Genomic DNA, 24,492 nt, shown 5'->3' with positions numbered 1-24,492 from the left:
AAAACAAACAAACAAACAAATCCTTCCTGGAAACCAGTTGCTATAAATATCCTGGAGGTCATCCTGTTTGCAAGTGGATTTTTATTGGTGTTTATTTTCATGGCTGATATCTCTTTAAAAGCATTGTTCTCCAGCTGTCAGTCCTCGTCAGACTCCAGAATTCTGCATTCTTATAGAAGCAGAGATAGGGCTGGATTTACAAGTCATTTAATTCAGTGGTTTTTCAAGGTGCATTTCCATGCTTCTGGTGGTGTATGTAATAAATTTGGGGAGGGGACATACAATGTTTGTTTTCTTAATTACGTATTTGTAGTATGTATGTATATTCTCTTCTATTAATGGAAATGAGAGAATTGCATCATAATGCTTCTTTGTAAAATTAATCTTATGTTAAAACACTGACTTGGCCAGGCACGGTGGTTCACGCCTGTAATCCCAGCACTTTAGGAGGCCGAGGCGGGCAGATCACAAGGTCAGGAGTTCAAGACCAGCCTGGCTAATATGGTGAAACCCTGTCACTATTAAAAATACAAAAATTAGCCAGGCGTGGTGGTGTGTGCCTGTAGTCCCAGCTACTTGGGAGGCTGAGGCAGGAGAATCACTTGAACCCGGGAGGCAGAAGTTGCAGTGAGTCAAGATCGCACCACTGCACTCCAGCCTGGGTGACAGAGTGAGACTCCGTCTCAAAAAACAACAACAGCAGCAAACAAAAACAAAAAAAACACTGACTTGATGAGAAAAATACAATAAATGACTCAAGATATGCTGTTTTAGTTCAACTTTCTTACTTTATGGAAGGAGAACCTAAAGCTAGAGTGACCGTGAGCCTCGATTTCCTTATCCTTAAAATGAAGATAATAATCCCTGCTTTGTAGGGTTGTGGCGAGAAGTAAACAGCGCATTTAAAGCACTAGCACAGTGCCTGGCCTATCACAAGAACCTACAAAATGTTCACTGCTTATATTATCTTATTAGAGGAGGAACTTTATTATGATAATCACTGTTAGCCTTCCTGGGCTTCAGGTTCCCAGGTGTAAAATGAAGCATCAGACCAGAGGATTTCTAAGGACCTTCCTTCTCCTTTCCTAAGCATCTCTGGTCATCCAGCATTCTCATTCTCTCATTGACCCCAAAAATTGGCTCCAGAGAATGGCAGAGGGCAGAAGGCCAACTTCCATCCCCAGACCCAACACCCCACTGTATTATATACACGGAGAAACTGAGGTTTAAATGCTTGTGTGGCCCTAATGAGAGGTGAAGCCGGCTGGGCTTCTGGGTCGGGTGGGGACTTGGAGAACTTTTCTGTCTAGCTAAAAGATTGTAAATGTACCAATCAGCGCTCTGTGTCTAGCTAAAGGTTTGTAAGCACACCAATCAGCACTCTGTAAATATGCACCAATCAGTGCTCTGTGTCTAGCTAATCAGGTGGGGACTTGGAGAACTTTTCTGTCTAGCTAAAGGATTGTAAATGTACCAATCAGTGCTCTGTGTCTAGCTAAAGGTTTGTAAACGCACCAATCAGCACTCTGTAAAAACGCACCAATCAGCGCTCTGTGTTTAGCTAAAGGTTTGTAAACGCACCAATCAGCACTCTGTAAAAATGGACCAATCAGCAGGACGTGGGTAGGGCCAAATAAGGGAATAAAAGCTGGCCACTAGAGCCAGCAGCAGCAACCCATTCGGGTCCCCTTCCAAGCTGTGGAAGCTTTGTTCTTTTGCTCTTCACAATAAATCTTGCTGCTGCTCACTCTTTGGGGCCATACTACCTGTATGAGCTGTAACATTCGCTGCAAAGGTCTGCAGCTTCACTCCTGAAGTCAGCAAGACCATGAACCCACTGGGAGGAACAAACAACTCTGGACGCGCCACCTTTAAGAGCTGTAACACTCACTGCAAAGGTCTGCAGCTTCACTCCTGAAGTCAGCAAGACCACGAACCCACCAGAAGGAAGAAACTCCGGACACATCTGAACATCTGAAGGAACAAACTCCGGACACACCATCTTTAAGAACTGTAACACTCACCGCGAGGGCCCGTGGCTTCATTCTTGAAGTCAGCAAGACCAAGAACCCACCAGAAGGAACCAATTCCGGACACACTAGAACTGAGCCTCTCTCACTCTCAATTCCCCTCTGAGCCTGAGGGTTTCCTGCTGCTGCTGTCTTCTTAAAGAAACAAAGTCCACCCACCAAAGGATGAAGGTCAGCAGAAAGTTCAGCCCATGTGGAGCTCTGCTAGCTAGCTGTTTCACTTTTTGCTTTATTTCCACTGGGTTTTCTCAAGTCCAGTTTTAAGGTAGCCATTACCATTTTTCCTGTGTTTCTCTTTCAAGAAATCCCAGACGCCAGCAGTCTGCCCCTAGTGGCAAACTGGAAGACCTAGTCCCTGTTCTTTGGGACAACTGTCTTTGCCTTTGAAGGTACTGAAGTGGTAAGGTTTGAGATAGAATGAGTGCCCCCATCCCCTATGCAGAGTGAAGAAGGTGCATGGGGTAGATAAAGAGCACTGGCTCTGGAGCCTGACAGGCGTGAATTTGAATACTGTTTTTTTTCATCCTTTCAAGCTATTGGATCTTGGACAGCTGTTTTAAAATCTCTCTGAATCCACAGACATACTTCGAAGCCTGCTCTGACTCTGCCAAGCTCAGAGGACCTGCAGGTTTCTAGGGATCTGCAGGTTTCCTGGTGACCTAACCTTCAGCTCAAGCCACCCCAAGAGAGGAAGCTGTGCAAACTGCCAGGGCCCTTCCTGGGGCTAAGGAAATGCATGTGCAGCACCAGTGATTGGAGGGGGCACTCCTAATGCCCAGGAAGAGACTTGTTGAAGGGGTCATCTTTTACCCTCTCATCCCCCGCTTTCCTAAAGTGTTGCTGCAAAGGCACTGAAACACAAAAGAGGCATGCAGTTGAGTAACAGCCTATCTGTAAGCCCTCACTCTTAAGCACTATCTACTGGGTTGCAGCCTGAATTGTACTACCAAAGATAAATTTCTTCACCAAGCAACATCTGTAAAACCCAATGTAGGTAAATAACCAAAACTAAGGAAGCCAAACAGAGTCTTGGCCCTCTAAAAGCACCCAGAAATGAAGCCAATCAACTATACACAATGTATACTACAGTCAAACCCCCAAAAGTAAAAAAGAACACAGAAACAAAAAGCCCCATCCAAATAACAGCAAATTCAAAAAGATAAAGAAACACCAGCCCCCTAAGATGAGAAGGAATCAGCATGAGAAAAGCCAGAGCATTTTCTTATCTCTAAAGGTTTTCTTATCTCTAAAGGTTCACACTAGCTCCCCAGCAAAGGATCCTAACTAGATTAAAATGTCTGAGATGACGGATATAGAACGGCAAGAAAGCTGAATGAGATTCAAGAGGTGTTGGGTGCAGTGGCTCATACCTGTAATCCCAGAACTTTGGGAGGCCAAGGCAGGCAGATTGTTCAGCCCAGGAGGTTGAGGCTACAGTGAGCCATGATCTCGCCATTGTATTCCAGCCTGGGTGACAGAGCAACACCCTATCTCAAAAAAAAAAAAAAAAAAAAAAAAGAGAAAGAGAGGGAGAGACTTAAGAGAAAGTAGCAACTCAACCCAAGGAAGTCAGTAAAGCAATTCAAGAGTTGAAAGACAACATAGCCATTTTAAGAAGGAACTAAATTATTCTGGAATTGAAAATTTTACTACAGGAATTTCAAAATACAGTTGGAAGCCTTAATAACAAACTAGACCAAGCTGAAAGAATAATTTCAGAGCTTAAAGACCAGTCTTTCAAATCAACTCAGTCCCACAAAAATAAAAGAATTTAAAAACTGAACAAAGCCTTTGGGAAATATGGGCTTATGTAAAGAGACCAAACCTACAACTCGGCATTCTTGAGAGAGAAGTAGAGAGAGTATGCAACTTGGAAAACATATTTGAGGACATAGTCAATGAAAATTTCCTCAATCTCACTAGAGAAGTCTATGTGCAAATGCAAGAAATTCAGAGAACCCCTGCAAGATACTATACAAGACACACAGTCATCAGACTTTCAAGGTCAATGAGAAAGAAAAAATCTTAAAGGCAGCTAGAGAAGAATCAGATCACTTACAAAGGGGAAACCCCATTAGGTTAAACAGTAGTCTTCTCAGCAGAAACCTTACAAGCCAGAAGTAATTAGGGGCCTATTTTCAGCATTTTTAAAGAAATTCCAACCAAGAATTTCATATTCCACCAAACTAAGTTTCATAAGCAAAGGAGAAAGAAAATATTTTCTAGAAAAGCAAGCACTAAGGGAATTTGTTACCACTAGAGCAGCCTCAAAAGAAATCTTTAAGGGAGTTCTAAACATGGAAATGAGAGAATGATACTAGCTACCACAAAAACACACTTAACTACATCGCCCACAGACCCTATAAAGCAACTACCCAATCAAGGCTACAAAGTAACCAGCTCACATCATGACAGGATCAAAATCTCACCTATCAATATTAACCTTGAATGTGAATGGTCTAAACACCTCATTTAAAAGGCACAAAGTGGGAAGTTGGATTAAAAATTAAGACTTAAACATCTACTGTTTTCAAGAGACCCATTTCACATGTAAGGACACCCATAGGCTCAAAGTAAAGAGATGGAGAAAGGTCTATCACACAAACAGAAAACATAAAAGAGCAAGGATCACTGTTCTAATATCAGATAAAACAGACTTAAAACCAACAGCAGTAAAAAAAGGGCAAAGAAGAGAATTACATAATGATAAAGAGTTCAATTCAAAAAGAAGACTTACTATCCTAAATACATTCACACCCAATATTGGAGCACCTGGATTCATATAACAAGTACTTCCAGACCTATGAAAACACTTAGCCACACAGTAATAGTGGGAGTCTTTAATACCCCACTCACAGTGTAAGACAGATCATCAAAGGAGAAGACTAACAAATTCTGGACTTAAATTTGACCCCTGACCAATTGGACCTTATAGACATCTACAGAATAATCCACCAAACAACCACAGAATATACAGTCTTCTCATCTGCACATGGCACATACTCTGAGATCAACCACATGCTTGACCATAAAGCAAGTCTCAATACACTTTAAAAGACAGAAATTATACCAAGCATACTCTTGGGCCACAGTGGAATAAAAATAGAAATCAATACCAAGAAGATATCTCAAAATCACACAATTCCATGGAAACTAAGCAACTTGCTCCTAAATGACTTTTGGGTAATGTATTAGCCCATTCTTGCATTGCTATAAAGAAATATCTAAGACTGGGTAATTTTTAAGAAGAAAGGTTTTATTGGCTTATGGTTCTGCAGGCTGTACATTGCTTCTGGGGAGGCCTCAGGGAACTTTTACTCATGGCAGAAGACAAAGCTGGAGCAGGCAGGTCACACGGAAAGAGCACAAGCTTGGTGCTGGGAGCAGGGGGAGGTGCCACACGCTTTTAAATGACAAGATCTTGTGAGAACTAACTCATTATTGCAAGAATAGTAGTACCAAGGGGATGGTACTAAACCATTCATGAGAAATTCACTCTCATGATTTAATCACCCCCACCAGGCCCCACATTCAACACTGGGGGGATGACAATTGAACATGAGATTTAAGTGGGGACACAAATCCAAACCATATCAGGTAAACAACAAAATTAAAGCAGAAATCAAAAGATTCTTTGAAATAGATGAAAACAGTGACACAACATAGCAACATCTCTGGGGTGCAGCAAAAGCAGTGTTGAGAGGAAAGTTTTTAGCACTAAATGCCTACACCAAGAAGCTAGAAAGATCTCAAATTAACGCTCTAACATTGCACCTAGAGGAACTAGAGAAACAGAAACAAACTAACCCCAAAGCTAGCAGAAGAAAAGAAATAACTAAAATCAGAGCGGAACTAAATGATATTGAGACCGCAAAAATCCATACAAAGGATCAATGAAGCCAAAAGTTGATTTTTTGAAAGGATAAACAAGACTGACAGACCACTAGCAAGATTAATAATGAAAAAGAGAGAAGACCCAAATAAGCACAATCAGAAATAATAAAGGTGAAATTACAACCAATCCCACAGAAATACATATGATCCTCAGAGATTATTATGAACACCTCTAAATACACAAACTAGAAAATCTAGAGGAAACTGATAAATTCCTAGAAACAAAACACCATCCAAGATTTATTCAGAAGGAAATCAAGACTCTGAACAGACCAATAATGAGCTTCAAAATTGAATCAGCATTTAGAAAAACCTACCAACCAATGAAATGGTTGGTTTTATTTGACCCTAGACCAGATGGATTTACAGCCAAATTCTATTAGATGTACAAAGAATAGCTGGTACCAATCCTACTGAAACTATTCCAAAAAATTGATGAGAGACTCCTCCCTAACTCATTCTATATAGTCAGTATCATACTGATACCAAAACCTGGCAAAGACACAATGAAAAAAGAAAATTACAGGCCAATATCCCTAATGAACATTGACACAAAAATCCTCAACAAAATACTAGCAAATCAAATACAGCACACATCAAAGATTAATTCACCAGGATCAACTAGACTTTATTCCTGGGATGCAAGGTTGGTTCAGCACACACCAACCAATAAATGTTACTCACCAAATAAATAGAATAGAATTAAACATAAAAAACATATGATCATCTCGATTGATGCAGAAAAAGCTTTTGATAAAATCCAACATTGTTTCATAATTTAAAACCTTCAATAAACTAGGCATCGGAGGAATATGTCTCAAAATAATAAAGCCATCTATGATAAACCCACAGCCAACATCATCCTGAATGGGCAAAAGCCGAAAGCATTCTCCTTAAGAACTGGAACAAGACTAGTATGGCCATTCTCACCACTCCTATTTAACATAGTATTGAAGTCCTAGCCAGAGCAATCAGACAAGAGAAAGAAATAAAAGGCATCCAAATAGGAAAATAAGTCAAATTATCTCTCTTTGCCAACTATATGATTCTACACATAGAAAACCCTAAAGACTGCCAAAAGGCTCTTAGAAGATTTTAAAATACAAAATCAATGTACAAAAATCAGTTGCATTTCTATACATTGATAATGTTTAAGCTGACAGCCAAATCAAGAACACAATTCCATTTACAATAGCCACAAAAAGAATAAAATACCTAGGAATAGATCTAACTAAGGAGGTGAATGGTTTCTACAAGGAGAACTACAAAACTGCTGAAAGAAATCATAAATGACACAAACAAATGGAAAAACATTCTATGCTCACAGATTTAAAGAGTCAAGATGACCATACTGCCAAAAGCAATATACAGATTCAATGCTATTCCCATAAACTACAAATTTTATTTTTCACAGAATTAGATAAAACTATTCTGAAATTCATCTGGAACCAAAAAAGAGCCCAAGTAGCCAAAGCAATCCTGAGCAAAAAGAAAAAAGGTGGAGGTATCACATTACCTGACTTCAAACTACACTACAAGGTTACAGTAACAAAAACAGCATGGTATTGGTACAAAAACAGACTCATAGACCCATGGAACAGAACAGAGAACACAGAAATAAAGCCACACACCTACAACCAACGGATCTTTGACAAAGTTGACAAAATTAAGGAATGGGCAAAGGACTCCCTATTCAATAAATAAGAGGTGCTGGGATAACTGGCTAGAACATATGCAGAAGAATAAAACTGGACTCCATACCTATCACTATATACAAAAATTAACTCCAGATGGATTAAAGCTTTAAATGTAGGACCTGAAACTATAAAAATCATAGAAGAAAACCTAGGAAATACCATTCTAGGCATTGGCCTTGACAAAGAATTTATGACTAAGCCCTCAAAAGCAATTACAACAAAAACAAAAATTGACAAGTGAGACCTAATTAAAGAGCTTCTGCACAGCAAAATTAACTATCAACAGGATAAACAAACAACCTACAGAATGGGAGAAAATATTCACAAACGATGCATCCAACAAAGATCTAATATCCAGAATGTATAAGGAACTTGAATAATTCAACAAGCAAAAGAACTAAATAACCCCATTAAAAAGTAGGCAAAAGACATGAACAGACACTTCTCAAAAGAAGACATACAAGTGGCCACCAAACATGAAAAAATGCTCAACATCACTAATCAGAGAAATGCGAATCAAAACCACAAAGAGCTACCATCTCACACCAGTCAGAACGGCTATTATAAAAAAGTAAAAAAACAAAACAAAACAAAACAAAAAACGGGTATTGGCAAGGCTGTGGAGAAAAGGGGATACTTATACACTGTTGGTGGAAATGTAAATTAGTTCAGTCACTGTGGAAAGCAGTTTGTAAATTTCTCAAAAAAATAAAAATAGAACTACCATTCGAGTCAGCAATCCCACTACTGGGTATATACCAGAGGAAAATAAATCATTCTACCAAAAAGACACATGCATGCATATGTTCAACACAGCACTGTTCACAATAGCAAAGACATGAAATCAACCTAGATGTCCATCAGTTGTGAATTGGATTTTAAAAAAGTGGTACATATACCACATGGAATACTATGCGGCCATAAAAAGAATGAAATCATATTCTTTGCAGCAACATGGATGCAGCTGGAGGCTATTATCCTCAGCAAATTAACTCAAAAACTGAAAACCAAATACCACATATTCTCACTGATAAGTGGGAGCTAAACATTGGGTACTCATGGACATAAAGATGGGAACAGTAGACACTGGGAACTACTAGACGGGGGAGGAAGGGGAGCAAGGGTTGAAAAACCACCCATTGGGTACTAAGATCGTTACCTGGGTTATGGGATCGTTCATACCCTAAACCTCAGCCTCATAATAATATACCCATGTAACAAACCTGCACATGTACCCCCTAAATTTAAAAGTTGGAAATTAAATAAATAAATAAAAACCTCTTTGAGACTCACTCTCATCTGTAAAATGGGGATTATAATACCTACGAAGCATGGATGTTGTAACAACTCAAAGAAACAAGGAAGGCAAAATGATTAGCACATTGCCAGGCACAAAGTAAACAATGATTATTATTATTTTGCTTCATGATCCCTTACTATGTGTATGCAGAATATGCTAATGTGCTAGAGAAAATATCTGATAGAAAGCTGTGGAATGTTGGGCAAATCTTCTCTTTTCAGTGGGTCTCATTTTATTCATCTGTAAAATGAGAGAACTGAAAATCTCTGTATGACAATCCCTGCCAACAAGTCACCCTATTTACACACTATGATGTTCATATTTAAAATTACTATTTAATTGGGTATGGCCTCATCAGCATATTTGGGAGCTACAGCTATTTTAATCCAGCATGAGAAAAATTACTAAAAGTCAGCACTAAAAGGAGTTTAGCAGTGGTTTTCAAATATTTCTTATCCTCTGAACCTTTCGAATTAAATCACAAAAAGAACAAAGTATTTAAAATAAATCAGGGTTATTCTTACATAGCTCAGAAAAAATACACACATCCCTCAAACATATATGTATGGGGATATAAATATATATGTACATTACGGTGGCTCACGCCTATAATCCCAGCACTTTGAGAGGCCGAGGTGGGCAGATCACCTGAGGTCAGGAATTCGAGACCAGCCTGGACAACGTGGTGAAACCCTGTCTCTACTAAAAATACAAAAATTCGCCAGGTGTGGTGGTACACATCTGTAATCCCATCTACTTAGTAGGCTGAGGCAAGAGAATCGCTTGAACCTGGGAGATGGAGGTTGCAGTGAGCCGAAATCGCACCACTGCACTTCAGCTTGGGTGATAGAGTAAGACTCTGTCTCAAAAAAAAAAAAAAAAAAAATATATATATATATATATATTTACACACACACTCATATATATATACACACATTAAAATACACACATGCAGAGCGAGAAGGAGAATATAATAAAGCAAATGTGCTAATCTTTGGGGAACTGGCAAAAAGCATATGGAAATTCTTCGTACTATTCTTCCAACATTTCTGTAAGTCTGAAATATTTCAAAATAAAGTGATCATAATTTTATCCTCAATTTGAAGTGGTGCCCACACCCATGCACAGATAATGAAGCCAAGGGCTAAAAGTGACATGATTGTCCAAGAGCATGTGTTAAATTCCAAAGCCAGGGCTTGCACCTGCACCCACCAGCTCCCAGACCAATTCATTTCCCACTCAAATTCTTCCCCTGTTGCTCTTTTTAAACAGTTTTCCTTTTAGTTCTCTTTTAACAAGACTGAATTATTGGGAGCTGATGCTCCCACATTACCACACTGGAACACAGAATCACAGATCATGAACAGCTGGGGCTGGAATAAAGGATGAGCAATTGGAGCTTTTTCTAGACAACCATCTCAAACCACAAATAAGGAAACAGGTTTCTTCAGTTCTGGTTCCAGTACAGTATCTACTCCTTTTCCATCCTTTGTTCAGGAGCTGCTATATATTCTGATACATATGATACTTTCTTTTTAACACCCCAAGCAAAAGGAATCCAAAATTATATTTCAGCCCGCACACCTGCATTACTGCGGGTCACCTTACACCCGAAATTGGGATGGTGCTCTTCCTGGTGGACTGAGCGTAGAAACAGAACTCCTGCAAAGACACCAGCTTGTACATTCTAATTGCCATTTTCCATAACAAAAATTATAATAATGATGATAGTCCTTACCCATGGGACGCAAAGCTACTCGGAGGCAGAGGTAGAGGGTGATTCCTGTTAACTCAAGGGGCAATGGTTGCTGCGTCAGTTAATCCAACGACTGTCCATGTATAATTTTTTCTTTTGAGACAGGTCTCACTCTGTCACCCAGGCTGAAGTGCAGTGGTGCGACTTTGGCTTACTATAGCCTCAACCTCCTGGGCTCAAGCGATCCTCCCACCTCAGCCTCCTGAGTAGCTGGGACTACAGGCACATGCCACCATGCTTGGCTAATTCTTATAATATTTTGTAGGGATGGGGTTTCACTACATTGCCCAGGCTGTTCTCAAACTCCTGGACTCAAGCGATCCTCCCACCTTGGCCTCCCAAAGCACTGAGATTATAGACATGAACCACTGTGCCCGGCCACATGTAATAATTTTAGTTAAATCTGGAGGCCACAGATAATTTGACTTTTTTTTTTTTTTTTTTTTTTTTGAGTTGGAGTTTTGCTCTTGTTGCCCAGGCTGGAGTGGGATGGCGTGATCTCAGCTCACTGCAACTTCTGCCTCCCGGATTCAAGCGATTCTCCCGCCTCAGCCTCCCCAGTAGCTGGGACTACAGGCATGCACCACCATGGTTGGCTAATTTTGTATTTTTAGTAGAGACGGGGTTTCACCATGTTGGCCCTGGTTTTGAACACCCACCTTGGCCTCCCAAAGTGCTGGGATTACAGGCATGAGCCACTGCGCCCTACCCACTTGACATTCTTACCACTTCTCAGTAAGTCAGGCAAGATGTGGGAATATTTGAGAAGGGTGGTGAGTGGAATATCACTATAGAGTGGCTAGCAGCTTCTTCTGCCTTTTGCTCACCTTCTTGACTTTCCAAAAGCACTCACGTTCTCAGGCACATAAACCCTTTTTGTTCCGCTCCCCGCTTTGTGCTCTTATGTTAACATCCTCACTGGGAATGGGCTCCATGTGTATGCATGGGGTGAATACAACAGAGAGTGTCTGGACCTTAAAGGCAGAGGTGGGAAGTTTTAAGTGTGAGCTTCAGCTGAGAGCTGTCTACATGGAGCCAGGAGCTGGTATAACGATCATGTGCAGTATCGGGAATGAAAGTGCTTTATAAACTCCACAAACGAGATTGGGTGGTAATTGCTATTAATTTTACCAGGCCTACAGAGAAGTCCATGTGGACTGATGCTGCTCTGTCCAGAGTGCTTATGGCACACAATTCACATCACTAACAGTGATGGTGGGTCACAGAGAACTCAGATGAAAGGAGAGGTGGCCTAGCTGAGCCCTTACAGAATACTTAAGAGTGTGACTTCTGAAGTCAGTGGGAGTTGGGTCCAAGTTCATGTTCCTCACTTGCTAGCTTCAAGAACTTGGGAATATTGCTTAACCTATCAAAGGCTCAGCTTCCTTACCTGTAAAATGGGATAACAGTGCCTGTTTCCTAGGGTTGTAGTCAAACAATATAAATCCAAGTGCAGACCTTAGCACAGTGCTTGTCACATAGAAGAGACTCACTAAGTTATTATCTTCCCCTTGGAAATGCAATCCCATTCATGTTTATCCCATTCATATTTAATCCCATTCATATTTAATCCCATTCATATTTAAAGAAAATTTTTATTTTCTTTAAATAAAAAATCTAAAACAACATACTTCTTTTTTCTTGTGTGTGACCCCTAATTAATATTTGGCTACTGTAAGTCAATGGCCCTAAAGAACAGAAATCTACATTCTTGATCTAATTTATAAAGAATAAAGACTTAGAAAAATATAATGGGGTAACTTGGATTTCGCTTTCTGAGTAGTTTATACCCATCATTAATAATAATAAGAGAAGGCCGGGCATGGTGGCTCATGCCTGTAATCCCAGCACTTTGGCAGGCCGAGACGGGTGGATCACAAGGTCAGGAGTTCGAGACCAGCCTGGCCAATATGGTGAAACCCCATCTCTACTAAATTAGTCGGGCATGGTGGTGCACACATGCAGTCCCAGCTACTTGGGAGGTTGAGGCAGAAGAAATGCTTGAACCCGGGAGGTGGAGGTTGCTGTGAGCCAAGATTGTGCCAAAATATATATATATGTATGATAATAATAATAATAGTAAGAAGAAGAAGGAGGAAGAATAAGTCCAGGTACAGTGGCTCACGCCTGTAATCCCAGCACTTTGGGAGGCCACGGTGAGCAGGTCCCTTGAGGTCAGGAGTACGAGACCAGCCTGGGCAACATGGTGAGATCCCATCTCTAGTAAAAATACAAAAATTAACCAGCCATGTTGGTGCACACCTGTAATCCCAGCTACTAAGAAGGCTGAGGCATGAGAATTGCTTGAACTCGGGAGGTGGAGGTTGCAGTGAGCCCAGATTGTGCCACTGCACTCCAGTTTGAGTGACAGAGCAAGACTCTGTCTCAAAAATAATAATAATAATAAATAAGAAAGAATAACAGTAAGTATTCACTGAGTGTTTCCTATGTCATAATTGGTTTCCAAGCATGACCTCATCCTTATCACAGCCCATCTACCATTATGTCTTGAAGACAGAGTACCAGGTACAAGGAATCCTGACATGATTTGGCCACAATCCCTAGCTTCATGGAAACACTGATGCACACACACCAACTCACATTCCATGTGAGAGTCTCTGTGACATGGATGAGGACTGGTGTTATAGAAACTCAAAAGGGGAGGTGGCTCCAAGATGGCTGAATAGCAACAGCTCCAGTCTACAGCTCCCAGCATGAGTGACGCAGAAGACAGGTTATTTCTGCATTTCCAACTGAGGTACCAGGTTCATCTCACTGGGGCTTGTCAGACAGTAGGTGCAGGACAGTGGCTGCAGCCCACTGAGCATAAGCCAAAGCAGGGTGAGGCATCACCTCACCCGGGAAGCGCAAGGGGTCAGGGAATTCCCTTTCCTAGCCAAGGGAAGCTGTGACAGACGGCACCTGGAAAATTGGGTCACTCCCACCCTAATACTGCACTTTTCCAATGGTCTTAGCAAACAGCATACCAGGAGATTATATCCGGCGCCTGGCTCAGAGGGTCCCACGCCCACAGAGCCTCACTCATTGCTAGCACAGCAGTCTGAGATCGAAGTGCAAGGTGGCAGTGAGGCTGTGGGAGGGGTGCCAACCATTGCTCAGGCTTGAGTAGGTAAACAAAGCGGCCAGGAAGCTTGAATGGTGTGGAGCCCACCGCAGCTCAAGGAGGCCTGCCTGCCTCTGTAGACTCCATCCACCTCTGGAGGCAGGGCATAGCCAAACAAAAGGCAGCAGAAACCTCTGCAGACTTAAATGTCCCTGTCTGACAGCTTTGAAGAGAGTAGTGGTTCTCCTAGCACGCAGCTGGAGATCTGAGAACAGACAGACTGCCTCCTCAAGCGGGTCCCTGACCCCCGAGTAGCCTAACTTGGAGGCACCCCCCAGTAGGGGCAGACTGACACTTCACACGCCTGGGTACCCCTCTGAGACGAAGCTTCCAGAGGAACGATCAGGCAGCAACATTTCCTATTCAGCAATATCTGCTGTTCTGCAGCCTCCGCTGCTGATACCCAGGCAAACAGGGTCTGGAGTGGACCTGCAGTAAACTCCAACAGACCTGCAAATGAGGGTCCTGACTGTTAGAAGGAAAGCTAACAAACAGAAAGGACAGCCACACCAAAACCCCATCTGTACATCACCATCATCAAAGACCAAAGGTAGATAAAACCACAAAGATGGGAAAAAACAGAGCAGAAAAGCTGAAAATTCTAAAAATCAGAGAGCCTCTCCCTCTCCAAAGGAGTGCAGCTCCTCGCCAGCAATGGAACAAAGCTGGACGGAGAATGACTTTGACGAGTTGAGGGAAGAAGGCTTCAGATGATCAAACTTCTCCGAGCTAAAGGGGTAAGTTCAAACCCATCACAAAGAAGCTAAAAACCTTGGAAAAAGATTAGACAAATGGCTAACTAGAATAACCAGTGTAGAGAAGTCCTTAAATGACCTGATGGAGCTGAAAACCATGGCATGAGAACTACGTGATGAATGCACAAGCTTCAGTAGCTGATTCAATCAACTGGAAGAAAGGGTATCAGTGACTGAAGATCAAATGAATGAAATGAAGCGAGAAGAGAAGTTTAGAGAAAAAAGAGTAAAAGGAAACAAACAAAACCTCCAAGAAATATGGGACTATGTGAAAAGACCAAATCTACGTCTGATTGGCGTACCTGAAAGTGATGGGGAGAATGGAACCAAGTTGGAAAATACTCTGTAGGATATTATCCAGGAGAACTTCCCCAACCTAGCAAGGCAGGCCAACATTCAAATTCAGGAAATACAGTGAATGCCACAAAGATACTCCTCGAGAAGAACAACTCCAAGACACATAATTGTCAGATTCACCAAAGTTGAAATGAAGGAAAAAATGTTAAGGGCAGCCAGAGAGAAAGGTCGGGTTACCCACAAAGGGAAGCCCATCAGACTAACAGCTGATCTCTTGGCAGAAACTCTACAAGCCAGAAGAGAGTGGGGGCCAATATTCAACATTCTTAAAGAAAAGAATTTTCAACCCAGAATTTCATATCCAGCCAAACTAAGCTTCATAAGTGAAGGAGAAATAAAATCCTTTACAGACAAGCAAATGCTGAGAGATTTAGTCATCACCAGGCCTGCCCTAAAAGAGCTCCTGAAGGAAGGACTCAACATGGAAAGGAACAACTGGTACCAGCCACTGCAAAAACATGACAAATTGTAAAGACCATTGATGCTACGAAGAAACTGCATCAACTGACGAGCAAAATAACCAGCTAACATCATAATGACAGGATCAAATTCACACATAACACTATTAACCCTAAATGTAAATGGGCTAAATACTCCAATTAAAAGACACAGACTGGCAAATTGGATAAAGAGTCAAGACCCATCAGTGTGCTGTATTCAGGAGACCCATCTCATGTGCAGACACACACATAGGCTCAAAATAAAGGGATGGAGGAAGAACTACCAAGCAAATGGAAAACAAAAAAAGGCAGGGGTTGCAATCCTAGTCTCTGATAAAACAGACTTTAAACCAACAAAGATCAAAAGAGACAAAGAAGGCCATTACATAATGGTAAAGGGATCAATTCAACAAGAAGAGCTAACTATCCTAAATACATATGCACCCAATACAGGAGCACCCAGATTCATAAAGCAAGTCCTTAGAGACCTACAAAGAGACTTAGACTCCCACACAAGAATAATGGGAGACTTTAATACCCCACTGTCAACATTAGACAGATCAATGAGACAGAAAGTTAACAAGGATATCCAGGAATTGAACTCAGCTCTGCACCAAGCTGACCTAATAGACATCTACAGAACTCTCCACCCCAAATCAACAGAATATACATTCTTCTCAGCACCACATCGCACTTATTCCAAAATTGACCACATAGTTGGAAGTAAAGCACTCCTCAGCAAATGTAAAAGAACAGAAATTATAACAAACTGTCTCTCAGACCACAGTGCAATCAAACTAGAACTCGGGATTAAGAAACACACTCAAAACCACTCAACTACATGGAAACTGAACAACCTGCTCCTGAATGACTACTGGGTACATAACGAAATGAAGGCAGAAATAAACATGTTCTTTGAAACCAATGAGAACAAAGACACAACATACCAAAATCTCTGGGACACATTTAAGGCAGAGTGTAGAGGGAAATTTATAGCACTAAATGCCCACAAAAGAAAGCAGGAAAGATCTAAAATTGACACCCTAACATCACAATTAAAAGAACTAGAGAAGCAAGAGCAAACACATTCAAAAGCTAGCAGAAGGCAAGAAATAACTAAGATCAGAGCAGAACTGAAGGAGATAGAGACACAAAAAATCCTTCAAAAAAATCAATGAATCCAGGAACTGGTTTTTTGAAAAGATCAGCAAAATTGATAGACTGCTAGCAAGACTAATAAAGATGAAAAGGAGAAGAAGCAAATAGATGCAATAAAAAATGATAAAGGGGATATCACCACCAATCCCACAGAAATACAACTACCATCAGAGAATAGTATAAACACCTCTACGCAAATAAACTAGAAAATCTAGAAGAAATGGATACATTCTTGGACACACACACCCTCCCAATACTAAACCAGGAAGATTTTGAATCCCTGAATAGACCAATAACAGGCTCTGAAATTGAGGCAATAATTAATAGCCTACCAAGCAAAAAAAGTACAGGACCAGACCGATTCACAGCTGAATTCTACCAGAAGTACAACAAGGAGCTGGTACCATTCCTTCTGAAACTATTCCAATCAATAGAAAAAGAGGGAATCCTCCCTGACTCATTTTATGAGGCCAGCATCATCTTGATACCAAAGCCGGGCAGAGACACAACAAAAAAAGAAAATTTTAGACCAATATCCCTGATGAACATTGATGCAAAAATCCTCAATAAAATACTGGCAAACTGAATCCAGCAGCACATCAAAAAGCTTATCCACCATGATCAAGTGGGCTTCATCCCTGGGATGCAAGGCTGGTTCAACAAACACAAATCAATAAACGTAATCCAGCAAATAAACAGAACCAAAGACAAAAACCACATGATTATCTCAATAGATGCAGAAAAGGCCTTTGACAAAATTCAACAGCCCTTCATGCTAAAAACTCTCAATAAATTCGGTATTGATGGGACGTATCTCAAAATAATAAGAGCTATTTATGACAAACCCACAGCCAATATCATTCTGAATGGGCAAAAACTGGAAGCATTCCCTTTGAAAACTGGCACAAGACAGGGATACTCTCTCTCACCACTCCTATTCAACATAGTGTTGGAAGTTCTGGCCAGGGCAATCAGGCAGGAGAAAGAAATAAAGGGTATTCAATTAGGAAAAGAGGAAGTCAAATTGTCCCTGTTTGCAGATGACATGATTGTGTATTTAGAAAACCCCATCATCTCAGCCCAAAATCTCAAGCTGATAAGCAACTTCAGCAAAGTCTCAGGATAAAAAATCAATGTGCAAAAATCAGAAGCATTCTTATACACCAATAACAGACAGAGAGCCAAATCATGAGTGAACTCCCATTCACAATTGCTTCAAAGAGAATAAAATACCTAGGAATCCAACTTACAAGGGATGTGAAGGACCTCTTCAAGGAGAACTACAAACCACTGCTCAACAAAATAAAAGAGGACTCAAACAAATGGAAGAACATTCCATGCTCATGGATAGGAAGAATCAATATTGTGAAAATGGCCATACTGCCCAAGGTAATTTATAGATTCAGTGCCATCCCCGTCAAGCTACCAATGACTTTCTTCACAGAATTGGAAAAAAACGACTTTAAAGTTCATATGGGAACAAAAAAGAGCCTGCATTGCCAAGACAATCCTAAGCCAAAAGAACAAAGCTGGAGGCATCATGCTACCTGACTTCAAACTATATTACAAGGCTACAGTAACCAAAACAACATGGTACTGGTAGCAAAACAGAGATATAGACCAATGGAACAGAACAGAGCCCTGAGTAATAATACCACACATCTACAACCATCTGATCTTTGACAAACCTGACAAAAACAAGAAATGGGGAAAGGATTCCCTGTTTAATAAATGGTGCTGGGAAAACTGGCTAGCCATATGTAGAAAGCTGAAACTGGATCCCTTCCTTACACCTTATACAAAAATTAATTCAAGATGGACTAAAGACTTAAATGTTAGACGTAAAACCATAAAAACCCTAGAAGAAAACCTAGGCAATACCATTCAGGACAGAGGCATGGCTAAGGACTTCATGTCTAAAACACCAAAAGCAATGGCAACAAAAGCCAAAATTGACAAATGGGATCTGATTAAACTAAAGAGCTTCTGCACAGCAAAAGAAACTACCGTCAGAGTGATCAGGCAACCTACAGAATGGGAGAAAAATTTTGCAATCTACTCATCTGACAAAGGGCTAATATCCAGAACCTACAAAGAACTCAAATTTACAAGAAAAAAACAAACAACCCCATCAACAAATGGGTGAAGGATATGAACAGACACTTCTCAAAAGAAGGAGTTTCTGCAGCCAACAGACACATGAAAAAATGCTCATCATCACTGGCCATCAGAGAAATGCAAATCAAAACCACAATGAGATACCATCTCACATCAGTTAGAATGGCGATCATTAAAAAGTCAGGAAACAACACGTGCTGGAGAGGATGTGGAGAAATAGGAACACTTTTACACTGTTGGTGGGACTGTAAACTAGTTCAACCATTGTGGAAGACAGTGTGGCAATTCCTCAAGGATCTAGAACTAGAAATACCATTTGATCCAGCCATCCCATTACTGGGTATAATACCCAAAGGATTATAAATCATGCTGCTATAAAGACACATGCACATGTATGTTTATTGCGGCACTATTCACAATACCAAAGACTTGGAACCAACCCAAATGTCCATCAGTGATAGACTGGATTAAGAAAATGTGGCACATATACACCATGGCATACTATGCAGCCATAAAAAAGGATGAGTTCATGTCCTTTGTAGGGACATGGATGAAGCTGGAAACCATTATTCTCAGCAAACTATTGCAAGGACAAAAAACCAAACACCGCATGTTCTCACTCAATGGTGGGAATTGAACAATAAGAACACTTGGACACAGGAAGGGGAGCATCACACACCAGGGTGTTGAGGGGTCGGGGGAGGGGGGAGGGATAGCATTAGGAGATATACCTAATGTAAATGACGAGTTAATGGGTGCAGCACACCAACATCGCACATGTATACATACGTAACAAACCTGCACATTGTGCACATGTACCCTAGAACTTAAAGTATAATTTAAAAAAAAATTAAAAGAAAAAGAAACTCAAAAGGAGGATTAATTATTACCAGGGGACGGGAGGCATTATAGGAGCCTCAGGAACTTGAACAATAAACAGAAATATCACAGATTACAAAGGGAGGGAAAGAGCCTTCTTAGCAGAGGGAACAGCACATGGAAAGGCATGAAGTTTGAAGGTGTATTGCATGCTTCAGACATTCTCTGGAATGGTTACAACATCAGGCACAGGAAGGTGGAGACAGAGGGAGGAACAATACTCTCAGCATTGTAACCAGGCCAGACAGTTAGAACCACCGGACCTGAAATACTATGGACTTTGAATCCCAGGCTCAAGTTTGTAACTCTTTCCTGTAGGCGATGAGATATGATTAAAGGCTTTTTAAGTATTGGAGTAACATGGCACTAATGTTTCCTCTGCCTTATGTCCCTTAAAAGCAGTGGGGTTTTTTTTCTATTTTTGATAAAAATTAGTTCCAAGTGGTTAGTGTTTTATGATTGTAGACTTTCAGAGACCATCAGATCCAGCCCCTACCTTCTAGCAGGTAAAGAGTATATCTGCATTTTATAGATGAGGCATATAAAGTTCAGGGAAGTAAAGTGACCTAAATACTTAGAGGTAGAGGCCGAGTTATTTCAGGTCCCCTAAATTTCAATTTTTTAGTTTTTCCAGTATAAACATCACACACTCTCTGATCTCACGTGAATTCAATTAGGAAAGTGTTGACGAAAAGAGTCAAACTGTAAAATATTTGAAGAGATTTATTCTGAGCCAAATACTAGTGACGGTGGCCCATGACACAACCCTCAAGAGACACTGAGGACATGTGTCCAAGGTGGTTGAGCCACAACTAGGTTTTATACATTTTCTGGGTTAAGACTGTGGAGACCAAAGTTCTTTTTTTTTTTTTTTTTTCTTTTGAGATGGAGTTTTACTCTTGTTGCCCAGGCTGGAATGCAATGTTGCCATCTAGGCTTACCACAAGCTCCACCTCCCAGATTCAAGCGATTCTCCTGCCTCAGCCTCCCAAGTAGCTGGGATTACCGGCATGCGCCAACACGCCTGGCTAATTTTGTATTTTTAGTAGAGAGGGGGTTTTTCCATGTTGGACCGTCTGGTCTTGAATTCCCGACCTCAGGTGATCCGCCCACCTCGGCCTCCCACAGTGCTTGGATTACAGCCATGAGCCACCGCCAAGACCAAGGTTCTTATCATGCAGATGAAGCCTCCTCCAGGTAGCAAGCTTCAGAGAGAATAGATTGTAAATGTTTCTTATCAGACTTAAAAAGAGGCCAGACTTAGTTGAATCTCTCCTGGATCTGAAGAAAAAGGCCTAGAAAGGGAAGGGGGTTCTCTACAGAATGTAGACTTTTTTCCCCTGCAAGAAACAACTTTGCAGGGCTATTTCAAGATATGGCAAATAAATATATTTGGGGTTACGATATTTTGATCTCCTTGCCTGTTATGTGATGTCATGCCAGTGTCAGGTCCAAAAGCAAGCCACATTATATAAGGTTAAATAAAACCCTTCTAGTGAGACTTTATGCTCTGTAGGGCATGGCTTCCCAGGTCCCTTAAATAGGAATTTGCGCAAGAGAAGAAAAAAGGTAAGAGTTTAGTTCTCAAAAAGACAAAGAGTCCTTAAATGGCAGACAAGCTGGGCATGGTGGCACATGCCTGTATTCCCAGCTACTTGGGAGGCTGAGGTGGGAGGATCACTTGAGCCCAAGAGTTCAAGGCTACAGAGAGCTAGGATTGTGCCACTACACTCCAGCCCTGGGAATAGAGTGAAATCCTGTCTCAATAAATAAATAAATAGCACAGGCAGTTTCACCCACCACCCCACTCATTGAAGAGATGTCTGTGCAGGAGTTGAGATGGAGAACATGAATCCACCATCTTCTCTGTAGGTCTTGGCACCTTCATGCCCTTCATAGAGAGTGAGACTCTTGCCACTTGAGTGAGACTCCAGTGCCTAAAGACATGTTTGCAATTGTTTCTACTAGATAGCCTCTTGGCACCTTGCTATGTTCTCTAGCAATTAGGGGGTTATTGGAAGCAATTTTAACTATTCCCAATTTCTGTCTCATGCTCTGGCCTGAATGATCTCCCGACTAACCCCCATGGGTCCTCCAGAGCCTGCTGGTGTCTGTGCGTGGATCTTTCCTGATCCCCTCTGCCTTGCACAGGTTGTACCAGTCTGTTGAGCTCCTCTACTTGGGTGGCATCTGCCTTACCTACCCCCTGCAGTTCTATGTCTCTGCCAAGATCATTGTGCCTGTCACTGTTTCCTGGGTGTGCAAGTGCTGAACCCTCATGGTAGACTTGGGCATTGGCTCTGCCATGCTTTGTAAGACATGTGAGTAAAAGGCAGAAAGATTTGCTTCTTTTCTGTCCCTCCACCAGGCCCCAGGAGTTTACAGGAGTTGGGCCACCAGGACCTCCCTAGAGCAAGTGCAACATTCCAGGCTTAGTAAATGTTTGTGGAATTAAGCTGAACCTAAGAGAAGCACATTGGTTAGGTTCTTTGGAGGCAAACAACAGAATATAACTCTGGACAACTTAAATTAAAACAAATGGATTTGAACATGCCTCACAGAGTCAAGGGAAAGCTAAAGAAGCAGACATTGAGAAAGACAGGGACCGGGCAGAGCCTGAGACTGAAGTCAGTGGGACTGTGCCTCTGGGATGAATTTCCACCAATTGTTTTCTGTTCTTGAGTGCAATGCTCAAGACGCAAATTCTATGGAGAGAGTGTCCAATTGCACAAGCCCATCTGTTGGGCAAGGAAAGTCAGGGCTTTTTGATTGACAGTGCCACCAAGACACCCATGCAGTGAGAGGGATGGTATCTCAAAGCAAAAATGGGTTCTACACCAAGAATGGGGAATTGATGAGTGTTAAAAGCAACAGATGTCCACACAAGTGGACATCACATGACAGAAGTCACCAGGTAAGGGTAACTGTGAAAAACAGGATGGATATGACATTAACCAAGTTAGAGAAATGGTCAGAGTTATTATCTTCAAATACTAAAAGTAGTTAAAGCTCTGGATCAGGAGGAAACTAAGTTCAAATTAAAGTTTGTATCTCTCAAACTTCTCACTCAGTAGTGCTTATTCCAACCTCAGAGTATAAGCCATTCCACACTTGCCATTTATAGACATGAAGCCAGCTTGGTGAACAGCCAGTAGGGGACCCTGAAGATCTGACAACAAAATATAAAGCCAAAAAGATACAGAAGGGGCCGGGTGCGGTGGCTCATGCCTGTAATCTCAGCACTTTGGGAGGCTGAGGCAGGTGGATCACGAGGTCAGGAGTTTGAGACCAGCCTGGCCAACATAGTGAAACCCCCATCTCTACTAAAAATACAAAAAAAAAAAGTTAGCGAGACGTGGTGGCGGGCGCCTATAATCACAGCCACTCGGCAGGGTAAGGCAGGAGAATCACTTGAACCTGGGAGGCGGAGGTTGCAGTGGGCTGTGATCGCGCCATTGCACTCCAGCCCGGGAGACAGTGCAAGACTCTGTCTCAAAAAAAAAAAAAAAAAGATACAGAAGGAAACCTCTGTTCTTAAAAGGTTTCATATTAGAACCTGAACAATGACCCATAAACTTCCTAGAATTGTGTGCAAAAATGGTATGTAAAGGTAGTTGTTGCTGTTTGTTTGGTTTGGTTTTTGTCTCTTTTTTTATTGTTTTGTTTTATTGTTTTTTTTATTGGGGTGTTGCCCTAAGATTCCCTAGTTCTCCCCATTTTGGCAAAAGGGGCTGTGAAAGGTTTTGCACTTCTGCCAACAAAGAGCTGCCCTCTCAGATGGTCTCAGTCAGAATCTGCTTCCTCAGAGCTACCTGGCCCCATCCTGGCCACTATTACTACCAGAGACAAGGATGAAAATGTAAATCATTTCTCAATTTGGAAAATGAGAATTTGTTGGAAGCCCTCTAAGGCATTTCCAATTTGGATGGCGATTCTGGGTTTTTTCCCCTTGGAAATTCCTAGGAGCCCCACAGTCTGCTCAAAGAACAAGGTTTAAAAATGTGACTTTCTCTCCCTGCCTGACATGGCCAGGTGGGAAGGGTAAGTGAGTGACTGAGCAGGGGCCATGCCCAGAAAACAGCACATGGCTTAGTCTAAAGTTACCCATCTCCAGCTAGAGAGGGTCCATGCTGGGTCATTTCCAAGTCTCAAAGAAGCCAGGAATTTTGGTTTTGTGTATGTCTGTGCAACTTTTCCAGTTTTTAAATAGTGGCAGCTAATTCAAAAAGCGTGGTACTCAGGTGGCCAATTTGCAACCAGGACCTAGATTTTATTCCCAAGGTATTTATGAAGGCCTTTAAGCACCCTCCTGCCCCTCTTTCTCTCTGTCTCTCTCTCTCTCTCTCACACACACACACACACACACACACACACTCTCTCTCTCTCTCTCACACACCCACACACACACACATACACACCTCACTTAAAATAAAATTGCCTAATAAAACAAGTTTCTTTCTGCATCTTTTTGACTTTATATTTTGTTACTGGAAGATCTTCAGGGTCCCCTACTGGCTGTTCAGCAAAATGGCTTCATGTCTGTAAATGGTGAGCGTGGAATGGCTTATACTGTGAGGTTGGAATAAGCACTAATGAGTGAGAGGTTTGAGGGTTGCATATTTTAAGCTCAACATAACAAAGAGCTTTTTTATACTGGGTGAGAAGAGTATAGTGAGTGCCCGATCTCCGAAGGTATTTAAGCAGAGGCAGGACAACCACTTTCCAAGAGAGGAATAGTTTTGCTATATAACCTATGAGAAGCTCCTTCCAAGTCTGAGATTCTCTTCTTTGGTTTTCTTTATAAGTGAAAATCAAAAATGAGTGATTAAATTACTGAATCTGAAGGATGATGCTTTTGAGCTATTGTCTGATGCATTGTAAACTGCAGATTATAGAAGGCATGAAACATATATGTTTGCCTTGAAAATATTCACTCTAGATGTGTAAACTGCTAGCTCTCATTTGTTTTAAATATACAACCCAT

At 41.4% G+C, this 24,492-nt stretch overlaps 1 protein-coding gene and 1 long non-coding RNA gene across 7 annotated transcripts in view, besides 1 other annotated feature; one reads left to right on the top strand and one right to left on the bottom strand.

The window, feature by feature from the left end:
• The window catches only part of SLC36A1 (solute carrier family 36 member 1), a 211,490-nt gene that overhangs the window by 147,194 nt on the left and 39,804 nt on the right, over positions 1 to 24,492 (bottom strand). The gene's annotated exons all lie outside the window — the stretch shown is intronic.
• The window catches only part of LOC105378234 (uncharacterized), an 84,540-nt gene that overhangs the window by 28,047 nt on the left and 32,001 nt on the right, over positions 1 to 24,492 (top strand). The gene's annotated exons all lie outside the window — the stretch shown is intronic.
• Positions 20,398 to 21,336: an enhancer, noted in NCBI's record as "OCT4-NANOG-H3K27ac-H3K4me1 hESC enhancer chr5:150767117-150768055 (GRCh37/hg19 assembly coordinates)". NCBI's record gives its function as "activates a minimal SCP1, AML or CMV promoter by ChIP-STARR-seq in naive H9 embryonic stem cells {active_cell/tissue: H9 hESC(naive)}" and the evidence as "EXISTENCE:reporter gene assay evidence [ECO:0000049][PMID:30033119]".

This window comes from Homo sapiens, chromosome 5 (assembly GCF_000001405.40).
Source record: "Homo sapiens chromosome 5, GRCh38.p14 Primary Assembly".
Classification (NCBI taxonomy): Eukaryota; Metazoa; Chordata; class Mammalia; order Primates; family Hominidae; genus Homo; species Homo sapiens.
Note: the sequence above shows the minus strand (reverse complement) of the source record. Positions and strands in the feature narration are given on the sequence as shown.